This window comes from Homo sapiens, chromosome 6, assembly GCF_000001405.40.
Source record: "Homo sapiens chromosome 6, GRCh38.p14 Primary Assembly".
Classification (NCBI taxonomy): domain Eukaryota; kingdom Metazoa; phylum Chordata; class Mammalia; order Primates; family Hominidae; genus Homo; species Homo sapiens.
In genome coordinates this window covers 169,368,191-169,393,814 of record NC_000006.12, presented here as the reverse complement: position 1 = coordinate 169,393,814, position 25,624 = coordinate 169,368,191, and the positions used below count along the sequence as shown (strand labels likewise).

At 47.1% G+C, this 25,624-nt stretch overlaps 1 long non-coding RNA gene across 1 annotated transcript, besides 1 other annotated feature; it reads left to right on the top strand.

Moving 5' to 3' along the window:
- Positions 1-5,408: 5,408 nt before the first annotated feature.
- LINC02519 (long intergenic non-protein coding RNA 2519) lies at positions 5,409-24,238 on the top strand. Its single transcript, NR_187217.1, has 2 exons — positions 5,409-5,614; positions 23,415-24,238. It is a non-coding gene; the product is annotated as a long intergenic non-protein coding RNA 2519 (long non-coding RNA).
- Positions 12,515-13,015: an enhancer, noted in NCBI's record as "H3K4me1 hESC enhancer chr6:169780895-169781395 (GRCh37/hg19 assembly coordinates)". NCBI's record gives its function as "activates a minimal SCP1, AML or CMV promoter by ChIP-STARR-seq in primed H9 embryonic stem cells {active_cell/tissue: H9 hESC(primed)}" and the evidence as "EXISTENCE:reporter gene assay evidence [ECO:0000049][PMID:30033119]".
- Positions 24,239-25,624: the final 1,386 nt, after the last annotated feature.

The following is a 25,624-nucleotide window of genomic DNA, read 5'->3' as shown; positions in this document are numbered from 1 at the left end:
CCCACAGAGTCTTTTCCTTGCCTGGCAGAGCGGTCCAGCTTAGTCTGAACCAGAAGGAGCAAACAACAACTTAACGTTTTACTGTGTTGAAGGAACCCATTTGCATAGAGCAAGGGTTTTTTTTTTTTCCTCCAGGCACCTTCCTGCCCCTTTATTTAAGCTCTTTTTTCTTTTCTCCACCATGTCAGGAGTTAACACAACCCTGCGAATACAGGGAGATTTCCCATGTGAGAGGTGTTTTTGGAAAGGTGTCCTACTAGGCCAGGACCCCAATTCATGGGACCCCCTTTTCTCTCCCTTGTTTGAGGAGGACACCCAGCTCCACAGCTTCGCCTTAGGCTTCGACTTGTGGGGAGGCAGCAGCAGAGGAGCGACCCCACCGGCTGCTGGCTGCAGCCTGGTGAGGACCGCCTGGGTCTTAGTGAGTCCACGAGCCCTCCCAAGACACATTTTTGCCCCAAACTCAATTCCATGCCTCTGGTTGAAGTCCTAGTAAGGAAAACTGGATCTAAGGAATCCAGAGGCAGATCACAAAGGAAGCCAAGGGGCACAGCACAGGTAAGCATGACTAATTCCTGCCAATTAGGCCCCCCCATTTCATGGATAGAGGTCATATTAGTATCCATGGCACATATGAGGTCTGGGGAACTCAAAGGTTACCTACAGCAGCGGGGACAGGCAGTGTGTGGGTGAGCATAGATAATTCCCACCCCATAGGCCCCCTGTTAACATGGATGAAAGCTGCATTGGCACCCATGGGCAGCATCCTGCCAAGGTCGCTGGGACTCAGGGATATAAGGATGGAAGAAGGAAGGGGGATGCCTCTTTTTTCTGTCTCTCATGTGCCCTGGGCATTCACTGGGAAGTGAAAAGAACTAGGGACACCTTGTTCCCCTCTTTCTGGTTGGATCACTAATCATCTTCAGTCTTTACTTCTCTCAAATGCCTCCTGAATCACTGGGATTCCTTTGAAAAAACGCCTTATTTTTCTTTTTTCCTCCTCTGTCCTCCCTTTGTGGGTGGGTGATTTTGTTCCCGTACCATAGGACACTCCCCACGGATCCATCCCCAAACCTTAAACTGCTTAGCTTAAAATAGAGGTTGGGGGAAGGGAACCCAGAAGCCTGACATGCCAGCAAAGGGTTAAAAGTTTTTTTTTGACTAGTCAGACTTCTGGACTCTCTCTCCCTGTGCAAACCAGTTAAATGAATGATAAAAATCACTGTTTATATTCTCTGTAAATGGAAAAAAGGATTTGTGAGGCTAGTCTTAAGCTGTAGCCAATCTGGTGTGCTTTGTGTCTCTTTCTGTGTGGTTCTGTCATAAAGAAGGGTACTTCAGGATAGAATGGGGGCCTACAACCATATAATCCTGCTGTTCAGGCCAGCCCAGCAAACTGGTCAGTAACAAACTTTGCTGTAGTTCTCCATCTTGTTTTACATCCTTGGGAGCTTGACCTCATAACCACGTGGCAGTACTTTCTTTTGCTCTCTGCCATTTTACAATGGTGGCCCAGGTTCAATCCTGACTTAGGGAATGAGTACTTTCTGGTTAATATATGTGTGATTTTTACCATTTGCTGATTCTCTTCCCCTCCATGAACAACTTCTAGCTTCCTCTCTTAAATCTTCCTTTCTCTGAGCTACCTTCAAAGATGCTAGATTTTGTGAAAACTGCTTACCACCTCTTTGAAAATACCTCATACACTTGTGGTTAACTCATAACCGTAGTTGAGGCTTGTTGGTTTCACCTGTGAGGTTACTTCTGGTAAAGTTCAAAAGCCAGAAATATTGGCCACTTGGCAAGACTAAAGTTGGGTAACAAGAGATTTTTTCTAAAGATGGTTTATAATCAGTTATAGGACTTTGACAGGTGCTCCCAAATGCAGGTTTCTGATAACATTGGAGATTGTGACATTGGAATAGAAGAAAACACACATAACTCGTAAAGAGCTGAAATGTTCATGAATATCAAGCAGAACAAGAATTAATGGAATGGACTGAACTAATAGAAAACTGAAGTAATGTTTCTAACTTTTTGCTTAAAATGTTGGTGATTCTTGTTTTGTTTTTCAGAGTCAAGGAAACTTATTTTGAGCTATTTACAGCCTTTAATAATTGAGTAAGTTATACTCCTATGAACAAAATTTGGAGCATGTTTGTTTCTCTTCGCCTGGTTTCTCTAGAATTTGGAAACTATTTGTGAGTAATCTTAACTTATGGCAATATACTTGTTTTGCATCAGTGCAATAACAATCCATTTTCTTTTGTAACAGGATGCAATTGTAGAAACTGGTTGGTTGTTTTACCAAGGCTTTGACTGGAAAGTTGTGCTTCCCTTTAAAGAATCAAGCTTGATATGCAGACCCAATAAAAGCCCCTTGAGAAAACTGGCCTTCATACCTTGTCAACACAGTCCTGTATAGGGTTCTTAACCTGTGGTGAGTAAAGAATGTCACTTTCTAATAGGCCCAGGAGCCCCATGTTATCTTGAAACCTCCGTAAGAGGAAGTTACCCAACTCATAGGTATTTGAGGGTAAAAACCCATGGCTGGGCTCGACTTTAAAAAGTCCTATCTGAGATTCTTTGTGGAACAGAGCTCCATCAAAGCCAATTTTAAAAGCTTATGTGAAAAATAATTATTCTTGCTGCACTTTATGCAAATGATCAGTCCAAGTGGAAGACTAAAGTTTATTTTGCAAACAACTCAGTCCTATCATGATTTGTTTTTGACAAAAATAAGACTAAAGAGAGAGAAATTATGTTTCAAAACTCACCATATAGTAGTCATTAAATTCCAATGTCATCAGTTGTTTTTAAGTTTTTGCTTACATTTTAGACTAACCCTGCTTATTCCTGTGAAGCAAACAGTGATCTCTGGCTGCAGTTCAGAAGAAAGAGAAGGGATGGGTAATGCAAAAATCTGGACCAATATTCTAGTTCTAATTATTGTGCAAATCCTGCCAGGTGATGGGAGTAAATAGGGTGCCTATAACCCAGAGGTTTCCTTTTTTGGGAAGATAAGACCAAGGGAGCTAACCAAAGCTGAGTCCCATGCACTTATATCTTAGCAGGCTTAACTATAACCACTAGTTATCCATGCATGCCAGCAGCCTTGGTATTTTTGAGCTGTCCTTTACCCCTTGTTTCATTTTGATTCATGTCCTCTAATAACTCAGTTTGTCTCTTTTCACCTTCAAGCCATCAAACTCCAAATGCTCATATAACCGGAACCTCGGACAATGGTCCCTTCTTCCGGGGACCCTTAGATAGGCCTCGGAGGAAGCTCTGACTACTGTTTCCCAAAACAGCACCCTCCTGTCAGCAGGAAGCAGTGAAGACTGGTCTTTGTCCTTATCCTCATCCTTATCCGAATGGCACTTAGATGTACTTCTTTAGAAATTGGGCATGACAGCAGCAGGAGGCAGCCAATGCCCAGGCAGATGGGGTGGGTCCCCAGTGAAACCCCACCTCCAAGCAAAAGACAGTTTAAAGCCTGAAAGCCAAGCTACAGGTTAAATCTTTGGATCAGATTGAGAACTTGTCTTCCTGTTTGGCACGCTTTCCTCTGATTGGTCCCCACCCTTCACCTATTTTACATTTACCTACCCTTTCCTAATTGGTTTTTCTATGCTGTCATGCCCACCTTTGAGTGGTGTCTTCCTTTAACCTTTTTTGGATTCTCACAAACCAATCAGCATTCACTCCCCATTCTGAGTCCATAAAAGGCCCCGGACCCAGCCATATGGAGGAACTTACCCACCTTGGGTAGGAAGACCAACCCCACATCCCCCCTCTACTGAGAGTTATTTTCAGCACTCAATAATATTCTTTTCTGCCCTTCTCATCCTTCAATGTGCAGAGTATCCTCATTCTTCTTGGGCATGGTACAAGAACTCAGGAACCACCAAACATGATACAAGCTATAACACAGGCCAGTTGGGGCATGCCAGCATGGCCGAGTGGGACCCAGGTGGAGCACTGCCAGCTGGGGCTCCCTGCTCTGCAACGTGACTGAGAATAAAAATCCTACATTGGTTTTACGTAACAGAAGGTGAACATCTGATAAGAAAGGGTGACAAAAGGAAAAGTCAACCATGCAGATGTCTCTGGGTATGTGGGGGAGTGACTGGTCTCACCTTGACTTTATTCTGCACCTGGGCAGGTGGGTTTGTAATTGACACGACCAGTGTGCAACTGAACAGACTTTAGTTTTAGGAGCTGGACTTAGACTGCAGTCCTAAAGTTTCAATTGGCCTGTCCTCATTCATGAGAGGCCAGCAGAGAATTCACGCAGGGATCATCTGTGTGGGCAGCTTTTCCAGATGCCTGAGGCCTTTCCCATTCTCTTTGGGTCTGGCTGATACATGATGTTAGTGACAGTCAATTCATTTGGAAGAGGGAGTGCAATGACTTTCCCTTTTGCATAAGAAGTTTTGGGGGTACTGAGATTTTTAGTTTCCTTTACAAGACCTTCCCGCAAATAAGTACAAGAGGACCCAGAGTGTGGGGTGTCTGGCTGTCTGAGCAGTTGGGCCACTGACGCTGAGGACAATGTGAGAAAGCCTGTCCTGGTGGAAGGGAGAGCAAAGGTGGAGAGAAAGGAAGCTCCATGTTAGTTTTTGAAACACACCACAGCTGAAGGTCAGTCCCCAAAGCTGGTTATGGTTGAAAGGGAGGAAAAGCTGCTCCCACGTGGCTCTGGCTGAGGCTTCCGAGACTCTGCAGGTGGGGGCCGTCTGTCTTCCCCAGGTGGGAGCTACTTCTTTTTAGAAGCAGGCTCCACGGCGGTTTTCAGGTGTGGCCTTGCCCAGCGTCCCGATGTTTTGCTTCCTGCCTGGCCTCGGCGCTCTTTGATGACCTCCTCTTGCCACACACTGTGGTCTCCATAGGCTGCCCACTGCTGATCCGAGGCTGGTGGCCCCCAGCACACGTGGGTTTCTGAGGAACACGCTGAGACTCTCGGGCCATGCCGTGACACAGGGGAGACAGCGTCTGCTCTTTTTCCATTTTTGTTCGTTTTCAGTGCTCTGACCCTCAGGAAGCCCACTTAAGCATCCCAGAATCCAGACGGCCGTGAACAAAGCTGCTGTGGTTTGGGGCTGCAAAACTGGCCCACAGCCCACCTGGATAACTGAATCGAACATGCCTCAGCCGCCCTCACCACAGGCACCATCCCCCTCACAGAAGTTTGATGTCTGATCATTCAGCACTGGCTGAGCCTCAGAGCTAAAATGGAAAATGCATTTTATGAGCAGATAACACATTTTTGGAATGGCTACTTTAAACATTGTGGATACAGATTCACAGAGACTATTTTTAGATGAATTATTTCTTCTATTTACCATACTGATTTGCTGGAAGAAAGAAAAACAATATTTTAAAAAGGGAAAACATTCTTTAAAAGCAGTGACTCTAAATTTCCCCTGAAGAGCAAAATGCTGTCTGTGTCTCACTCAATGTGGTGGCTGCTACAGGAGGATCTTCCCAGGCCTTCTCAGGGAATTCCCATCAGGATCACAGGAATGGTACCTGGCAGACACAACCCAGTCTGCACCTTCCATGGGCCACAGCTGATGGTACGAGGAGAGGTGTGACATCTGCCTGACCTCAGGTAAGTGGTCAGGTTATTCCCCCTGAGAACTTGGAGCTGAGACCAAGGACTGAGAAGCTGTCGTGGGAGTGGGGAACCGGCTACAGGGTGCCACAGGGACAAGAGGAGGGAACAGCAGCAGCAAAGCACGCAGCGTGGAGAGGCAAAGACAACATAGAGATGAAAGGGCCCAGGTGTGCTCCTCATTTGGGTGGCATCAGTTGCCCTCACATCCTTAGAATAAATGTCCCATTTTTTAATTCCAGTGTAAGTGGGTTGCTGACATTAAAAACTGAAATGCGTGACTGAGGCAGGTCTCATCACCGAGGTTTGTTATGCCAGCTTTAGGGCACTTCCAGGACAGGAGCCACACACACATCTGTGCGTTTTTTGAGGGGTTTTCGGGGGGTTAGTGCCGATCTATTTCCTAATGAGAGGAGCCCTGTAGGCAGAGAGGCAGGTAGGTGGTGAGGGGAAGGGTTGCATTCCTGTGAGACCTTAGTTCATGCCCAGCAAATCCATGTTTTACATAAGAGAAGGTGATGAGGAAGGAGGACTCCAGGAAGATGTGTCTGGGTAGGTGGGGGAGTGACTGATCTCACCTTGACTTTGTTCTGCACCTGGGTAGGTGGGCTTAAAATTGACACGGCTGGTGTGGAATTGAACAAACTTGAGTTTCAGGAACTGGACTGAGATTACAGTCCTGAAGTCACAATTGGTCTGTCCGTGTTCATGGGGGGCCAGCAGAGCATTTGCTCAGGGATGGCCTGTGAGGGCAGTGATTTGGAGACAACTGAGGCCTTTCCCCCATTCGTGGGGTCTGGCTGCTGCATGAGCCTGGTGACAGCTGTTCCTTTGGAGGCCGGAGTTGTGTGCCTCGGCCGCCAGGCTTAACTTTCCGTTTCTCATAAGGAGTTCAGGGGTCCTGTGATTTTTTATTTTTCTTTACTCTATTTCTTACAACCAAATAAACTTCCTTATATGCCTACATCATAAATATTAGATGTTAGAAATTCACAGGTAATTTCCCTTGGACTGGAATTTGGGCTCATGGTTGGAAAACCCGGAGTCCTCTTTCCAGGTCCGTTCTCAGCCCCTGGCTCCTTCCTGTGCCTGTCTCTGTTCTGTGCTGGGGCTGAACGGGTTTCTAGCCTCGCAGGCTAACACAGGGGGCTCGAACTGCTTGATCCCGCATTCTGGGGTGTTGAGGTTCCTGTTGTCTCTCCTTGTCTAACTTTCTGTCTCTCAGAGATTAAAAAGCTGGGATCATCTCTCTCTGCACTTCAGAACGCCACAGGATTTGGGCGGAGAGGCCGCACAGGGAGTTTCTAGAAGGGAGCAGGGCTCAGCTCACTCAGCACCCTCTGCACCAGCTCTCACTGCGACTCTTAACCCGGATGAGCCACGTGTCTTTGCTATGGGGGTTTAGAGCTGCGAGAGGTCCTAGAATTCTATGGCTTCTGCATTTTTGGTGAGCAAACCAAAGCTTTGAGAGGATACGTTAATTCCCTGAGTTACAGAACTAATTAAGAACAGATTCTGGGACTAAAACTCAGTTTGCCTGAGTCCTAGCCCCAGGGCCCTTCGCGGTCTTCACTATCTTCAGCCGCGTTTGGAATGTACGTCCTGTCCTGGGCTTCACGGATGCTGCTTCTCACTCATCCTGAGCCTTTGCTTGGAGTCTGTCCCGAGCTGCTCGGCATCGTTAGGACAGCAGGGGATCCATGCCTTTTCTGGCGATGGAAGTCAGTCAGCAGTTTCTGCAAGTTTTTCTCTAACTCAGCCACAGGCCATTTCTTTCTTCTGGACTGTAGAAAATAATTACAGTTGCTCTATTTTTTGTGTCCTTTCTTTCTCCTCTCTGATTTAAAGAAAAACACACAAGATGTTACGTCTAACCATGACTCAAAGCCAGGACATGGCTGTGTTAGCAACCTGAGTCCCCAAATTTGTTCAATCAGAAGAAATTGCTTAATCTGTATTATTGATTTATTATTCATTTGCTTGTTTTTGTTTGGCAAAGCTTGTGCTTGTTATGACAATTGAGAAAGTACTAAATTTGGGCTTGAGGTGTTTGTTCAAATAAGCCATGCTGTTTCAAATGTTTCCGACCTCCAAAAGACTGAGAGAATTTCCACAAATAATGGAGCCAAATGAGCCAAATGTGAGAACAACCGCTTGGTGGTCTACTCAGACTTCGCTTCCTAAAAACGCAGCAACTTACCAACCTGAAAGAAGTAACCTGCTCTCAGGGGCTTGGAGGAGCCTCCAGAGGATGGACTGGCAGCCATGCACACGCCAGTGCTGCTTTTGAGAGTCTTCTGTCATCCACTCAGAGACAGCTATGCCAGGAAGATGAAACCAGGAGATGTGTATGAGAGTGTGTGTGTGTGCACACTGTGTGTGTGAGTGCAAGTGTGCATGTGAGAATGTGTGCATGGGCAGACGATGTGTGTGCATGTGTGAATGTTAGAATGCGTACATCTGCTGTGTGTAAGCGCATGTGCACATGTGCATGTTTTGTGTGAGTGTGTGTATGTGAGTGTGTGCATGTCGTGTGTGAGTGCGCGTGTTGCCGTGTGTGTGTGCATGTTGTGCATGTGAGTGTATACATGTGCACACCATGTGTGTGGGTGCATATGTGCATGTATATGCCTTGTGTGTGCATGTTGTGTGAGAGCATGTGCATGTGCATACCATGTGTGAGTGCATTTGTGCATGTGTATGCCATTTGTATGTGTATGTGAGAGTGTGTGTGCATGCCATGTGTGAGTGCATGTGTGCATGTGTATGCTGTGTGTGTGAGTGTGTGAGTGTGTGCATGCCACGTGTGCAAGTGCATGTGTGCATGTGTATGGCATGTGTGTGTCCATGTTGTATATGTGAGAGTATGTGCCTGCCGTGTGTGTGAGAGTGCATGTGTGTGAGAAAGTGTGTGACAGAACATGAGTGAGGGTGAGGTGCACTGGGCAGTACTGGGATGGAAACTGACTTACAGATCAATGGGAGGACACAGATGATCTTAAAACAGGTGAACAGATTTAAGGACTTAATTTATAATAACAGCAGCATCGTGTTCTAGTGTAGCAAAGGATTATTCAAAAAATAGTGTTTAAAAAAGTTTTGTTTGAATAAATTTAGACTATTATCTCTACCCTACGCCAAGGTAATTTCAAATATATTGAATTATATGTAAAACTGAATTGGAAAGACAACTATAAATCAAAGATGATAGGCTGAAAACAGATATCTCGCATATCTTTCTATTTTGAAAACGCACCTAATCTAACATAAAGGCATTTTGTTTGAAAAAAGCCACAGGGATGGTATGCCCTGGAGGGTATGTGTGGTAATGAAATTCTGGGAGAGGGTGAGCAGCTGGACTGGTGGTAACTGATTTAGTGGATGCAGCAGAGTCCTGAGGCAGCAGCAGGAAAAGCTGAGTCCAGCAGAAACGGTGCCACAAAGTCTTCAAAAACCTCAGGCATTGCCAGCATCCGTCTCTAGAACTGGGGATGAAGGGTGGAACTGAAAGAGAAATTTGGGGAAGGCTGTTTGAAAAGACATTCAAAAAGATCTCTAGGTCCGTTTCTACAGCCCAGGCCTCTGGCACACACCTGCCCTCTTCTTGACAGAAGCCTGGGGCATTTGAGCAGCACCTGGTTTTATTGAGGGTGCAGCAGCTACTCCCACACTGTCCCTTGTGTGCTCATGTGCACATTGCATCTTTCGCCACAGATTCTTCCTCCCTCCCAAGGTGCTGCCCAGGGTCAGCAGAAGGGATCAGGCCTTCTGCTGAAGAGACTCTAGGGAGGTGAAGACACAGGCACCCGTGTCCCAGCACGTGCCCGACCAGACCCCTGTGGTCACGTTCAGATAGTACAAGCACTGTTCATCTCCTTGGAGTCGTCAACCAGCTTTTTGGTCCCTGGGTGTTAATCATGACCAGACAGCCAGGACAGAATGAGCACCTAGGAGAATCGAGACAAAAACTGAAAACACAAGTAGAGAAAAACAGCTTGGAAGGAGCAGAAGCTGTGCTGGTGGAACAGAAGGAGAACTGCCATGACATCCCTGGAGAGATGAGAAGATGCCACACTCATGAGCTGTGAACAGGGCAGCACAGCAAAGGAGCATTCGGAAGAAATAATCGATCAGAGAAAATAATGTGTATATACACAGTAGATATTTTTTATTGCCATCATTATATAAAAACTCACTGGAAGTTGTGAAAGATTAAAAAAAATCACAAAAAGATCGAATGTGGGAAATAAAATATTAAAATATTGCAAGATCAGTCCAGAAGTTTTAATAACCAAAATAAAAGGATTTGTAGAAGAAGAAAATCAAGAAAATTGAAAAATTAACAAAAAATGTATTAGTCTGTTCTCACACTGCTGTAAAGACTGTCCGAGACTGGGAAATTTATAAAGGAATGAGGTTTAATTCACTCACAGTTATGCATGCCTGGAGAGGCCTCAGGAAACTTACAATCATGGCAGAAGGGGAAGCAAACACGTCCTTCTTCACATGGCAGCAGGAGAGAGAAGTGAGAGTGCAGGAAAAACTGTCATTTACAAAACCATCAGATCTTGAGAACTCACTCACTATGAAGAGAACAGCATGGGGAAAACACCTCCAAGATCCAATCACTTCCCTCCCTTGACATGTAGGGATTACAACTGGACATAAGATTTGGGTGGAGACACAGAGCAAAACCATATCAACAAAGTACAGTCATTCAAGAATATTCCCCAGGCTGGTGAGACATGAGTTGCCAGATCAAAAGATCTCACACATGAATGGAAACACTAGCATGAAGGCGTGCACCGTGGCATTCAGAACTCTTGGGAGCAACAGGAAGAGGCCTGAAGCTGTCAAAGCAAAAGACCGGCACACAGGAAGACTTTGTGCTTCTCAAAGAAACACTTGGACGTAGGACGACGTGGAGAAATGCCTTTGTGGTTCTGAAGGAAATTAATTTCTGACGTGAAATTCTACACCTGGGAAAACTGTCAATCAAGTGTCAGGAGAGAATAAAGATGTCTGTTGATATACAAGCTCTTACAGGCTTTACTGCCCAGGCACCATTTCTCAGGAAGCCAGTGGACAATGCACCCCAACAGGACAGCAGTGCATCTGGAAAGGACTCTGCCTTGACCTCTGGCTGGAGGAAGGACCTTGACCTTGAGTGGGGGGAAGCTCAGCCCATTTTTTCTGCCCACTCCCTGAGATCAGCCTCCACATGCTGCACAGCTGTGAGGCCTTGGACACCCTCTTCCTCCAGAAGGCCCCTGTCTGTCTCAGGAAGCCAAGGCCATCACAGCCCAGAGACCCTTGTCTTTCCCGGAGCCTTCCTGGGGAGGGGTTCTGTGGTCCCAGCAGCATACAGCTACTGTGTGCCTGAGTACATGTATGTAATTTAGGTGTGCATGTAAACTTTAGGATATGTATGTATATTTTAGGTTACATACACACCTGTTTCATATTGCATACTAATATATAGATGTATACATACATACATACACACTGGTCAATTCATAAAGAAGAGTAATGATTAAGACAGGTGAGTAGATAGCAATGATCTCTGGGAATGAGGTAGAAAGTTTGATTTCAGGAAGACCTTTTTCCTATCAATTTGAGTAATTTTAAATTTATGACTAATTATAAAATAATATTTGAAAATCCTCCTTAAAAATTAGAACCCTGCAAATAAATCCCAATGACAGATTCCTACTCTACCCCCCCTCACTCCCACCACATCTGGTCTGTTTTTCTCAAGTCCATTTCTAAAGCACATTGATACGGAGTGAACGTTTGCGTCCCTCCCTCCCCTCATTCTGATGCTGAGGCCCTGAACCCCACGGTGTTGATGTTGGGAGGTGGGGCCTTGGGAGCTTACGATGGGATCAGTGGCTGCATAAAAAGACACGCTGGAGCTTCCTCTTTCCACTAAGTGAGGACACAGGGAGGAGGCGCTGTCTACAGACCAGAAAGAACGGCCATTGCCAAGATCCAAAATGGCTGGCACCTTAACTAACCTTGGACTTGCAGCCTCCAGAACTGTGAGAAGTTAACTGCCTGCTGTTAAAGTCAGTGAGTCTGGGGTGTTTTGTTACAATAGTCTGAGCCGAATAAGATGTACACACACACACACACACCACACATACACATGCACACACAGATATACACACATACACACATGCACACACACATACATACACATACACATACTACACACACACGAACACACACATACACATACACACTACACACATACACACACAATGCACACACACACATATACACACATGCACACATACACATACACACGCTCACACACACATGCACACACACATATTTGGGCATTAGTTTGATCAAAAATAAAATGACTGTGGAGTAAGGCTGATTTCTTTGTTATAAGCTGACTGTCCTCAAAATTTAAAATACAAGTTTATTTCCCAGAAAGGAGTAGCCTGTGAGGTGAATGCACTGGCAGCCAACCCTCACTGAGATCTTGCATAGGGGTTAAAATTCTGCATTATGGTGAATTAATGCTGGTGGTATTAATAGTTATATCTGCCATATAACTATTCATCATCATTCTGACCATAAGTATATAATTAACTGGATGGAAAAATTAGAAAGCTAGTTTTGACTCTTTTTTTTTTTTAAATTACTTTAAGTTCTGGGATACCTGCGCAGACCATGCGGGTTTGCTCCATATACATGTGCCATGGTGGCTTGTTGCACCTATCAACCCGTCATCTAGGTTTTAAGCCCCGCATGCGTTAGGTATTTATCCTAATGCTCGTCCTCCCCTCACCCCCTACACCCTGACAGGTGTTGTCTCTGGAGTTAATTGCAAAAGAAAATGTGACGGAAAAGGAAAAAGATCGACAAAGGCACATGTGAAATTCTTAAACTCCGTAGAATTCTGGTCACTAACCAGCACTCAGGTTTGCATATGGCTAATTTCCATTTCTCTTTAGTGGAGACGGGTGAGCAGCAATGTTTTTGGATTCAGTAAACTTTTCTAATTAAACACAAATCATTTGAAAAAAATAATTTTAGTAGTATTGCCAGGCATTTTTCTGCTTAGTTTTCAAAGCATGGAAATTTTAAGGAAAATTTCATCCATGTGCGTGGTTAATTTAAATTGGAGGCACTGACGATGATTTTAAACATGATTTAATGAGTAAGTGGCTTTAGTGCCTAAAAACAAGCAGTCACACTGCTGCCGTCTGCACACTTGCCATGTGAATCTGTGTACCTGAAATTCTCGTCTCTGTTGTTGTACAAGACTATGGCAGTGGCCTGGCCGGAGACCCCATTTCCAGCCTGGAGCTCCCCTCATTGTGTGCAATTTCTCCACGTGGGCAGGAGGCTTTGGGTGGGCCATGTGACTGTGGTCCTGGGACGTCCCCACCAGCTGGGGTCCATCATGACCCGGCCGTGGTGTTTCCGTGCTGCCCAGCCTCTGCTCCTGGGCCTCCCTTCTCAGCCCCTCTGTGTCATTTCAAGAAGGTCCCAAGCTTTGTGGCCACTTTTGGTTGTTAAAACAGTGCAGACGAAGGCTCCAGGTTTCTCTCACTCTTCTCGGGCCAGGCTGGCCTGGGGCCCCACTGCTGGGCTAAGGCCTGACTCTTCTCTTCCTTCAGAGAGTGTCTCTGGCAGAAAGTTTTCCCTGTGAATGTCTGCTCAGTTACAACGTGATTTAGGGACATCCCTTCCCTTGCTGATGAAATGTTTATCATGAAGCGTTCCTGGCTTTTTGCAGTGAGGATGCTGCACAGACCCCAGGCTTTTAGGCCAGGCAGGTTCACAGTCATAAACCACACTGCCTCAGGGTCCTCATTAGATCTGACCTAGGGGCTATGTGTCACCATTAGGTGTACAAGGTTCTGGAATCACATGCTGGGAAAAAATCTATATGTACACACACACACATACACACACATGCATACCCATACACACATACATACACATGCACACATACACCTACATACATACGCATACACACATACACACCCCCACACACACACCCAATGAAATGCACCAAGTCACGATGGGGACATGAGTCAGGATGTTTGTGTTGCCTCGCACTTCCACAGGTGGTAGGTGCAGCTTTGCGGCCGGTGCCAACTGGACACAGCTCCGCATGTGTGAGAACGTTTCTGAGCCGTGTGGGTGAACGTTCCTGCACCTGCAGTGCAAATGCAGCCTCCTCTTTCCGAGGTAACTGCAGCTTGAAACTGCACAGTGCCAGGGCTTTGAGGGCTGGGCAGCCCCACTCTTCTGACCTCCAAGTTCTTTTCCTGGTCATTTGCAATCGTAAGAAGTGCAGAAAGACCCGGGAATTTCCTCCAGACAGGGCACCGCTGAGTGAACAGCGCTTCCTCAAGTTCAAGTCAGTGAGACCTGCGTGAAGCCCGATGGCTTTGGCCGTGTGTGAGATCCCAGAACCTACGGTGATGGAGAGAGGCAGCTGGGCTCAGGAGCACATGGGCTGTTGCCTGTGGGATGAGGCCATGTGGGCTCCCCGAGGTCCTGTCCCCGGGATGCTGCTGGATTTCCTGGCAGCCCCATGGCCAGTCCCCTGGCGTGGCTCCTTTCCACAGCATTGAGGGCGCTGCTCGCTGCTTTGCACTGAAAGGGAGCTTCTCCCTGAAAACATCATTGTATAATCCTGAGTCTTTTTTCCATGACAGCCCAGAGACTGATCTGTTCAGCAGAGCTCTTGCCAATGCTTCCTCCTAACTTAGAGGAAAATCCAGGCAGCTCTGGTGCTGGGGGAAGATTTGGGAGGGAATATATTTACTCATTAGCATGTGGATGGGGGTTGGACTCATAGAACCAAATAAGGTCACCTGCAGGGATGCAGAGAGACACGGGTGGAGGCTCATGGTCCTGCTCCAGGGAATGCAGACACTTGAAGGTCTTGGAAAAGCCAAAGAAGAAGGAGGAGAAGGGAAGCCATGATGGCGTGGCAAAGCCAAAGGGACGGCGAGTTCTGGACACCAGCAGAGGCCGCGCGTGGAAGCCCACGGGGACCTGGGCCTGCTGGGAGAATCCCGCACATCAGGAGAGGCCACGTGTGGAAACCCGCGGGGACCTGGGCCTGCTGGGCCTCTTGTGCGTGTGAAAATATGGAACACGGTTGGTATTAACCAAAGTTTTTTCATCAGGTTGTTATGGAGAGAAGGCAGACAGGGGACTGGTGAGTATGTAAGAGGCAGAGAGAGGGAAAGTGGTGCAAGTCACATTTTTGACAGTGTCTGTGTGCAGAAGAGAGAACCAGGCTGGCCATCAGAAAGCAATTCAGGGTTTGGAGGGACGTCGTTGGCAGGAGAGGCTGGAACATGTACACACGTCAATAGGACAGATTCCGGGTCAGGACATGTGCTGGTACAGATGGATTCTGAGATGGAACATTTGCTCGTACAGTTCCTGGGAGGCCAGAAGGGATGGGGCCTCGGCACAGACACGAGAGAGGAGCGTGATGCCCCTGCCTCCCTCCTACACCAGCAGGAGAGGAGAGGAGGCTGCTATAGTTTCTTGGCACATCTGGGAGGACTGTATGGGGCCTGGGGGAGTGATATCTTGTCAGGAAGATTCCGGAGCTCACTGGAGTTAGTGGTCACCATCCGTAGAGGACCTGTTCTCAGTGTGGGGATTTTTCTCTAGAAGTGGTGAGTTGCTGTGGGCAGGCAGAGACAGGCTGAGTAGTTCACTTTGTTTAGAGTTCATGTGGAGTTGAGTTTTTTCCAAATGGATGAGGTGAAAATTTAGCAAAAACCTGACGACGGCATTGGAAAATTAAATTAAAATTTTAATTTTAAGCTGGATGATGGTTGGTTAGACCATAACCAGGGCTGAGTGATGGAGCCAAGAGTGGCTTTTCTAAGTGCACACGGCTGGGCCATGGCCCCCTTCGTTTGCTCAAACACCAGCTGGATATTGCTGTGAAGATATTTTGTAGATGTGATTAACATCTAAACTAGCAGACTTTGAATAAAGTCAGTTACCGTTTATAATTTGGGTGAACCTCATCCAATCAGTTAAAGAGATTAAGAGAAAAAAACGGAGGTCCCTTAAGGAAGAAGGAATTCTGGCTCCAGACTGCAGCATAGAAATTCTGCCTGAGTCTCCAGACTCAAGGCTACACCATCCGCTCTCCCCTGGGTCTCCGGTGTGCCAGCCTGCCCTGCGGATGCCACGCTTGCCAGCCCCACAATTGCATGAGCCAATTCCTTACGATGAATCTGTGTATGTGTGTCCGGTTGGTGCTGCTTGCCTGGAGACTGCTGGCTGATGCCCTGATAATGATTATGTCGGGGATTTGGTGGTGGAGGAGCTGTTGGACAGGTTGGCAGGAAGGAGAGGAGGCCGTGGCCAGGTGCCGGGTTCCTCAGCTCACTGCCGCGCTCATGTGTTCCCGTAGATCAGGGTGTTCCCAGGAGAGGGGAAGGCCGTGGGCGGCTGGGGGGTGGCTGGGGGTCAGTAGAGCAGCATGAGCCTTCAGGTCAGGGTTGGGGTGCAGTTCATGTGGACACTGAGGTTACCTAGGAGGTCAGGGTCAGGGTGCTGTCCATGTGGACACTGAAGTCACATAGGAGGTCAGGGTCAGGGTGCAGTCCATGTGGACACTGAGGTTACCTAGGAGGTCAGGGTCGGGGTGCAGTCCATGTGGACAATGAAGTTACCTAGGAGGTCAGGGTTGGGGTGCTGTCTGTGGACACCGAGGTTACCTCAGAGGTCAGGGTTGGGGTGCTGTCTGTGTGGACACTGAAGTCACATAGGAGGTCAGGGTCGGGGTGCTGTCTGTGTGGACACTGAGGTTACCTCAGAGGTCAGGGTCGGGGTGCTGTCTGTGTGGACACTGAGGTTACCTCAGAGGTCAGGGTCGGGGTGCTGTCTGTGTGGACACTGAAGTCACATAGGAGGTCAGGGTCAGGGTGCAGTCCATGTGGACACTGAGGTTACCTAGGAGGTCAGGGTCGGGGTGCAGTCCATGTGGACAATGAAGTTACCTAGGAGGTCAGGGTTGGGGTGCTGTCTGTGGACACCGAGGTTACCTCAGAGGTCAGGGTTGGGGTGCTGTCTGTGTGGACACTGAAGTCACATAGGAGGTCAGGGTCGGGGTGCTGTCTGTGTGGACACTGAGGTTACCTCAGAGGTCAGGGTCGGGGTGCTGTCTGTGTGGACACTGAGGTTACCTCAGAGGTCAGGGTCGGGGTGCTGTCTGTGTGGACACTGAAGTCACATAGGAGGTCAGGGTCAGGGTGCAGTCCATGTGGACACTGAGGTTACCTAGGAGGTCAGGGTCGGGGTGCAGTCCATGTGGACACTGAGGTTACCTAGGACGTCAGGGTCGGGGTGCAGTCCATGTGGACAATGAAGTTACCTAGGAGGTCAGGGTTGGGGTGCTGTCTGTGGACACCAAGGTTACCTCGGAGGTCAGGGTTGGGGTGCTGTCTGTGTGGACACTGAGGTTACCTCGGAGGTCAGGGTTGGGGTGCTGTCTGTGTGGACACTGAAGTCACATAGGAGGGTGGCAGGGGCCACAGTGGAGAGGAAGATGGAGCTAGAAACCAGGGAATCAGATGCAACGTGAGTAAAACCAGGAGGTTGACAGAAGGCGGCGGTGAGGAGGCAGCAGCCACGGGGCTTCATTTCTACCGCCATGCAGTGAGGGCATCGGTGGGGAAAAGAGGACACTATTTTGGAAGAGGAGTAACACAAGGGCTCATGACAAGGCCAGTGACTTGGTGCACGGGTGTCATAGTCAAGGGCATTGAATCTTGTGCAGACCCAGAGAGCAAATATTCGGGATGTGCTGCACCATGGGTCTCCAGTCCATGCTACAAGAACAAATGTTTTTGAAAAAAGACAGGCAATATTGACAGAACTGTTAAAATTAAAACCATTTTCATTCAATGGAAGAAAAGGAGAAGAAAATTAGAATCCTCAGAAATGGCAACATCAGTAAGAAGTGGTAGAAGGGGAGAGATGGATTTAACACATCTTATATTTTGTTGTAATTTTAACAGGCTATGAAAAAATCTACATGAAATAAAAAGATGGGAATAAATTGATCATTTATGTTTTGAATATTTTAAAAGATGTTTTAATGTCATTGTGAGAATTCATTTTAATGTCAATGTGAGAAGTCATTGTGAAAAATAAGAAAAATGATAGGACATGAATTTCATGTAAAGTGCCTTCATAATTCCCAAAAACTTGATATTGGAATGCTCTAAGATCTCATCACATATTTATCTCTAGTTTTTGTGTGTAGAAGGATCTGACAGCTGGGACAATTTGACTTCAGATTTTACAAAAAAGACAATCCCTTTGCTCTATTTGCTCTGGAATGTGGGCTGTGATCAGAACCAAAACTTTTTAGTAAAATTAACTGTCTGTTCAAATTTTCCTCACCAGAAATCTAAATCATTCCTTTTGCAACAAAACAATAACAGTGGAGTGCGTTCCCTGAGTTTTTGGAGAGAAAAGAAAAATAAAGTTCAGAGGCAAAACTTGGTAGAAATTCTGAAGCCTGGATGACAGTGATGACTCCGCGCAGCAGGAACGTCGCGGGCCTTGCCTGGCCACGTCCTCTTGGCTGGAGGCATGAGTGTTTATGCCAGGCTGAAGAAGTCACTTGAACTCATGTCCTTTGACTGAACATTTTTTATGAGACCTGCATAAATCATTTCTTTAAAAATGGCATCCTGGGCATGGAGGCAGTCTGCTTTTTGCAAGAATTCTTATGGGCAAAGTCTCTTCAGATGAGAATGATTCTGCTTTAATTCCCTCTGCCTTCTGCCCTTGGGTAAGCTCACTGTGTCTCCTTAAACACTCTGGCTTTAACCAGTTTCTGCGTATCATTCAGACCAACATTCCTCTCAGTTATCAGTCAACTGAGAGACTGAGAAATAAAGTCAATAGAATGAAAAGAAAATAGTCATATACAGTAAGCTCGATTTTCTTCCTACCGCTTCCTCATATCTTTGCCAAGTCAAACCAAACTACCTCCTTCTAGAAATTTGTCTTATAAATTATCTTCATGACCTTCAGGAAGCTAATATATTTTAAGGTGTACAAAGCACTAAAAATACTGATTAAAAGATCAATTGGACTTCAGCAGAATTTAGAACTTCTGTTCATCAGATGACAACCTTAAGAAAGTGAAAAGATAAGTGCTTTCATTAGTTCCCACAACACAGGAGGAAGCCCTAGAAAATCAATCAGAAAAACACAATCCAATTTAAAAGCTGAGCAATAGCCTGTGTGGGCACTTCACAAAACGGGATATCCCAATGGCCAGGGAGCTATGAGGAGGTGATCAAGATCATTTGTTTTCAAGAAAATGAAAATTAAATCCACAGTGAGGGAGAATTGCACACTCACCAGGATGCGTAAGGCTAAAGAGACTGAAAATGCCAACTTCTGGGGAGGACTTGGTGATGAGAACTCACCTATTGCTCTGGGAATATAAAGTGGTTCCACCATTCTGGAAAAATTCTTCAGCAATATTTACTAAATTTAAAGATATGCCTATCCTATGACCCGAAATCCTGCTCCTAGCTCTAACTATGGGAAATGAGTGGCGCAGTCCACAAAAGGACATGTGCAAGAACATCCATAGCAGCTTTATGCACAGTAAATCCAAACTGGACACAACCCAAATGCTCAGAACAAGAGAAGAAATAAATACATTTTTATAGCCTTGCAATGGAAAACTATAGTGTGATAAAACAATAAACCACGAGTGTACCAAGAATATTGATGTTTGTTTCACAACAAACATGTGCGTGAAAGAAGCCAGACACAGAAGAGTTCCCACTGTCTGGTTCCATTTCCACAAAGTCCAAAACAGACACAACTAACTGATAATGACAAAAATCAGAAGACTGGTGATCTCCAGACGGAGGTATAGACTTAAAAGGGGCCAAGGGAAAATAAGGGGAATATGAACCCCACTCAAAGGTTTCACACACAAAGAGGCAGAGTAGATACAGAGTGAATAAATACATTATTTTCATGTGCATACAATAGATCAAGTAATAAAATTCTGAGAGCCGCACATATGTTATTTAGTTCATACAAAAACCCTGGGTTTATTCTGAACCCACCTATGAGATCACATGGAGAGACTGGCTCCACCTGTGAGATCACATGGAGAGACTGGCTCCACCTGTGAGATCACATGGAGAGACTGGCTCCACCTGTGAGATCACATGGAGAGACTGGCTCCACCTGTGAGATCACATGGAGAGACTGGATCCTGAAACACAAGGGTGTGCTGCATTTCTGGATACCATCGCAGACCTTTGCAAGCAGTTCCATGAAACAAGAAAGGAGCATTAGGATCAATGGCATGAGATTTAATTAAATTTGCATTGGTTTTTCTACGTTGACTTTCACTTTGCAACCAAAGAACACCATTCTCCCTGGCATTGTGGTAATTTAAAAGTGCCGGGGAGGTGTGGCTCACTAAGCTAAACTCAACCTCATCAGATAAAATAATTAGTTTTGAACCAGATTGTGTATTTATTTATTTATTTATTTTACCTTGCATGCATATTTTATTATTTTATTTTTATTTTACTAGTTTTGAGGGAACAGGTGGTATTTGGTTGCATGGAAAAGTTCTTTAGTGGTGATCTCTGAGGTTTTGGTGCACCCATCACTCCAGCAGTGTTCACTGTAACCAATATGTAGTCTTTTATCCCTTGCCCCGCTCCCACGCTCCCCCTGGGTCCCCAGAGTCCATTGTATCATTCTTATGCCTTTGCATCCTCCTAGCTTAGCTCACACTTAACAGTGAGAACATAGGAGGTTTGGTTTTCCATTCGTGAGTTACTTCACTTAGAATAATGGCCTCCAGCTCGTTCCATCCTGGTTGCTGCTAATCCATTATTAGGTTGAACCAGATTGTTTAGCTTTGGGGTTGTGAGTCCTGAATCCTGTTTTCGCAAAGACTCCCTGTAGGATCTTGGGCAATTCCCAAAAGCAGGGTTTCCTGCTTTGAGATGCTCAGTTCTCAGAGCTGTGTGGACTGCATGGCACTCTTCAGTCAGAGATGCCCGGCAGGTGTCTGGCTGCAAGAACCGGGACCAGTCACCTTCGAGGTGTGCACCAAATACATCCTCAAGCGAAAGAAGCCTTTGAACACAAAAGCACAGAGTGAGACGGGACCTGGGGCACCCACGCTCATTTAGAGCTCCTTGAATTCCGTTGAATTAAGATCTTAATCCTGGGGAGTGGCGTATGTAGTAGAAGAGTCTGGATTTGAGTAGTGCATGGTAACGCCAGTGTGTGTGTGTGCTGTGTGTGGTATGTGGTGTGTGTGTTGTGTGGCATGTGTGGTGTGTATGGTGTGTGGTGTGTGATGTGTGTGGTGTGTGTGAGATATGTGGTGTGTGGGGTGTGTGTGTGTGTGTGGTGTGTGGTGTGTGTGTGGTATGTGGTGTGTGTGGTATCTGTGGTGTGTGGTGTGTGTGTTGTGGGTGTTTTGTGTGTGTATGGTGTGTGTGTGGTGTGTTCGTGGTGTGTGGTGTGTGGTGTGTTCGTGGTGTGTGGTGTGTGTGTGCTGTGTTTGGTGTGTGTGGTGTGTTTTGTGTGGTGTGTGGTGTGTGTGTGGTATGTGGTGTGTGTGTGTGGTGTATGGTGTGTATGTTGTGTGTGTGGTGTGCTGTGGTGTGTGTGGTGTGTGGTGTGTTGCGTTTGTGGTGTGTGTGGTGTGTATGTGTGGTGTGTGTGGTGTGTGTGTGGTGTGTGATGTGTGTGGAGTGTGTGTGGTTTGTGGTGTGTGTGGTGTGTGGTGTGTTGTGTTTGTGGTGTGTGGTTTGTGGTGTGTGCCGTGTGTGGTGTGTGTGGTGTGTGTGGTGTATGGTGTGTGTGTTGTGTGTGTGTGGTGTGTGGTGTGTTGTGTTTGTGGTGTGGTGTGTGTGGTTGGTGTGTGTGTGGTGTGTGTGTGTGGTATGTGTGTGTGGCTTGTGTGTGTGGTGTGTGGTGTGTTGTGTTTGTGGTGTGTGGTTTGTGGTGTGTGCCGTGTGTGGTGTGTGTGGTGTGTGTGGTGTATGGTGTGTGTGTTGTGTGTGTGTGGTGTGTGGTATAAGAGTGGTGTGTGTGGTGTGGTGTGTGTCATGTGTGGTGTTTGTGTGGTGTTTGGTGTGTGTGTGGTGTGGCGTGTGTAGTGTGTGGTGTGAGTGTTGTGTGGTGTGTGTGGTGTGAGTGTTGTGTGTGTGGTGTTTGGTGTGTGTGTGATGTGTTTTGTGTGGTGTGTGTAGTGTGTGGTGTGTGTGGTGTGTGTGGTGTGTTGTGTGGTGTGTGTGTGGTGTGTGTTTTGTGTGGTGTGTGTAGCGTGTGTGTGCTGTGTGGTGTGTGTGGTGTGAGTGTCGTGTGTGTGGTGTGTGGTGTCTTGTGTTTGTGGTGTGTGGTGTGGTGTGTGTGGTGTGTGATGTGTGTGTCTGAGAGAGAGGGAGAGCCTTGCCCAGCTCTTCAGCCTGAGCATCGGAAGCTGCCGTTGTTTGTCTGCTTCCCTAGCTCTTTCTCTCCTTCACTGACAGAGCCCCCTCAGGGCCCTTCCTGGTGCTGCTCGCTCTGCTCCTTTTCCATTACCAGGCTGTCACTGGAATGCGCTGCTGGAGCACCGGGTGCATCCCTGGGAACCAGATGTGTGACGCAGATTCCAGCAAGGGACTCTATTTGGGTGGAGAACATCGTTGTCAATAAAAATATCAACAGGTGGCCTAGACTCAGTGTCCTGGAGAAGGACGGCGAGGGTCAGCCCAGCAGGGCACCTGCCCAGAGTGGCCACAGGGTTCCAGGACAGTCCTTGGGGCAGGACATGGGGTGAACTGAGTGGTTACATCAGACCCTGGGACCTTCACCTGCCAGCCACTCGTCCTGCCACCACCCACTGCAAGACGTTGATCAAATCCTACCAGCCTCTCTCTCCCAGGACTTCAAGTCTTCATGAGTCACAGGAGCTTTTTCACTCACCTTGTGGGGCAGGTACCCAAGGCAGCACCTTGGAGGGCCAGAGGGATGGTCACTGGTTCCCAGGGCCTCCCCCACGTCTGCCCTCTGGAGGTCTGGTTGTTTTGCTTTTTTTTTCTTTCTGTATTGAATTTTTTCTTTTTTTCCTTTATAAATGTTAAAAATTGTATATTATTATATATTTGTGGGGTTCAGTAGGATGTTTTGATACATGTATACATTGTGGAATGGTTGAGTCAAGCTAATGAGTCTGTCCATCCCCTCACACACTTATCTTTTTTTGTGGTGAAAACATTTAAAACGACTCTTTCAAGAAATCTGAAATATGCAATGTGTGATGTCTAAGGGAGGCTGTGGAGGGGCAGGAGGGGAGGTTGGTGAAAAGGTATGACGTTTAGCTGGACAGGAGGGATAAACTGCCGTGTCCATTGCAGGGAGCCGTGGCTTTCGTTTCAATTCTGTGAACCATCACCTCATGGCTTTCCAAAACATCCTCTGTTGTTTGTGTTTGCTGAAGTTTCTGAGTCACTTTCTTTGCCATCAAAAACAGCAGTAAAGAATGGTGAATTAAGGCGGTGGGTGGGGGTGGGATGCAGGGTGGGAAGCAGAGGCTGGGGCTGCCCACCGTCGGGGCCCATGAGGAAGAGTGAGCTCCAGTGGATGGGCCTGAAACACCACCCCATGTGCCCTCCGTGAGCCACTGTGCTTTCCTGTGAGCTCACGACTGCCATCAGGATGGTTCTGCACTGAAAAAAATACACAGTATATCCATTAGTGTGAAAAAACACCTGGCTTCTCTTCCTCCTCACAGCTCTGGGGGTTCCTGTGGGTGGACAGAAGGAGCCCTGGAGGCCCGGCCAGGATGCGTCATCTGTGGCTACCACGTGGATTCTCTGGTGTGCTGAGTCAAGGCAGCGATCTTCCAAGTGTGGTCGCTGTACCTCCATCAGCACCTCCTGGGACTTGTCAGGACGCTGACCCGGGCCCCAGCCAAGTTCTGCTGCTGCCTCAGGGGGACAGAGGCAGGGCCTCACTGTCTGATGATCCAGCCCTGCAGGGGGCCCGCTGCACCTGCAGGTGTGAGAGCCGCCGCTGAATTAAGGTGACTGGAAGGTTTCAGGGCATGGGAGGGAGGTAGATCATTTGGGGCTGAGAAGCACTTTTGCATCTCTTTCCTGCCCAGAAGCGACCAGAGAGGCCAGGCATTGTCACCTGGAGACTTTGGAAATGAAGCCCTGAGCTGATCTAATAATTTCTGGCAAATTCTATGGGGTTGCTTCATGAATTAGGAAAAGCCATAGAAACTCAAGTGTAAATCGTGTGTTATATCCCAGGGCCGCGCGCTTAATGTGGACTGTGGAGCTTGTACGCAGCCTGTCACACCCTGCCAGCCTCAATACGGCTCTCCTTACCCCGGGCCTCTGCACGCACATATGAAAGGCAACCTCACCTCTGTGGCTTGCATGGTTCAGCGATTCATACTGTGTTAGTATTCCTAATCTATTTCTAAGTAACTTAATTTTTCTCGAAAATAGTAATTTAAAATGTTGTCCATATAGATGAATAACAATCAGAAAACTTTCCTTAGGGATGCTAAAACATCATTAATTAGCAATAAAACAAATTTAAGTTTTATGAGCTGTCGTGGCATTTATCATTCTGTAAGATTGCAAACATAGTTTTCCATAGATGTCATAATTCATTAAGAGAAGTGGTGAAATTTGGATGTGTTTGAAAGAACAAGGAACTAGATTAAACACCCTCTGCTGCACCGCAGGGGCTGACGAGGGAAGACATAGGTGGTGTCTGAAACGTTCTGTGGCTACAGAGTCCTCTTTCATATCCTTCCTTTAGGGAGAGACTCGGGAGAGACTCAGAAGAGAGGTGTTTTCCGGCAATAGCAGAGCATAGGAACCTCTTGATAGACCACTGAGATGAGTCAGCATCGGCAGCCTGCACAGGGTGGTGGGGTGGGCTGGGGCCTCAGTGAGTGGGGTGCAGACAGGGGCTTCTCTCCACCTGCCAAGATTCCACTCAAATGCTGCGTCTCCCTGAAGCCCCTCCCATCTTCACAGACCTTCATTTAACACTTACTGAAGGGTAGATGGTTGTATAGCTCACTGAGGTGTCTGACTCCCTGACCAGACTGTGGGACTCTTCAGAATGAAACAGACTTTTCCTTCTTTATTTTCCCCGTTTCTAACTTAGTCATGCACAGAATAAACGCTTGGTAAGACTCTACTGAATGATGATACTTCTCCAGGACGAAGGTGCCTGTGAAGAATGGGAAGGCCTGGTGCCGTAGTGTCTTAGATTCTGATATGCCACATGTCCTGCTTATCACCCTGAAGTCTCAAAAGATAATCAACTTGTTAAACACTGTGCTTTGTACCTACTTCATTTTTTAAAGAGCTTTTATTTTGACTGTTGGACATCACGGTTATTCTTCCTGAACTCAGCCCTGATAGTGCAGTGCCCCAGTACAAGTCCCTGGCACATTGGCCTGGAGTTTAAGGCTCTGCATACCCCACCCGGGCATCCTGCTTCCCCTGCACAATCGCTTTGCTGGATCAGTGCTAGCTGGGTCTGTCTCTCCAGCGCTTTAGAAGCCGCCCTCCTGCTGTGTCTTCGCTCATTCTGTTCCCTTCTCCCGGTCCCCCACTGTTTGCTGCTTTGCTTTTTATTTCTCAAGGCTCAGTTCAAAAGCCACCATTTCCACCAAGACGTGGTGACCTCAACTGGATTGGAGACAACGCCTCTCCCCAGCTCCTCTGGAATATGGTTCTGTCCTCTGAGCCTGGTATCGGCGTCGATGCTGTCTACATGCGCTGCTGGCTGGTCGCCTACTGGATGTGTCTGCCCGCTGGGGGAAGGAACCAGGCCCTGGAATGGGATCCTGAGTAGGAGCACAGTCTGGATATTCCTGCAGGAGTGAAGAGACATTCTCAGGGCGGATGTTGCCAGGACAAAGAAACACAAGCAACAACAAGAACAAAACTGGAGGTGAGAGCTGTGATGGTG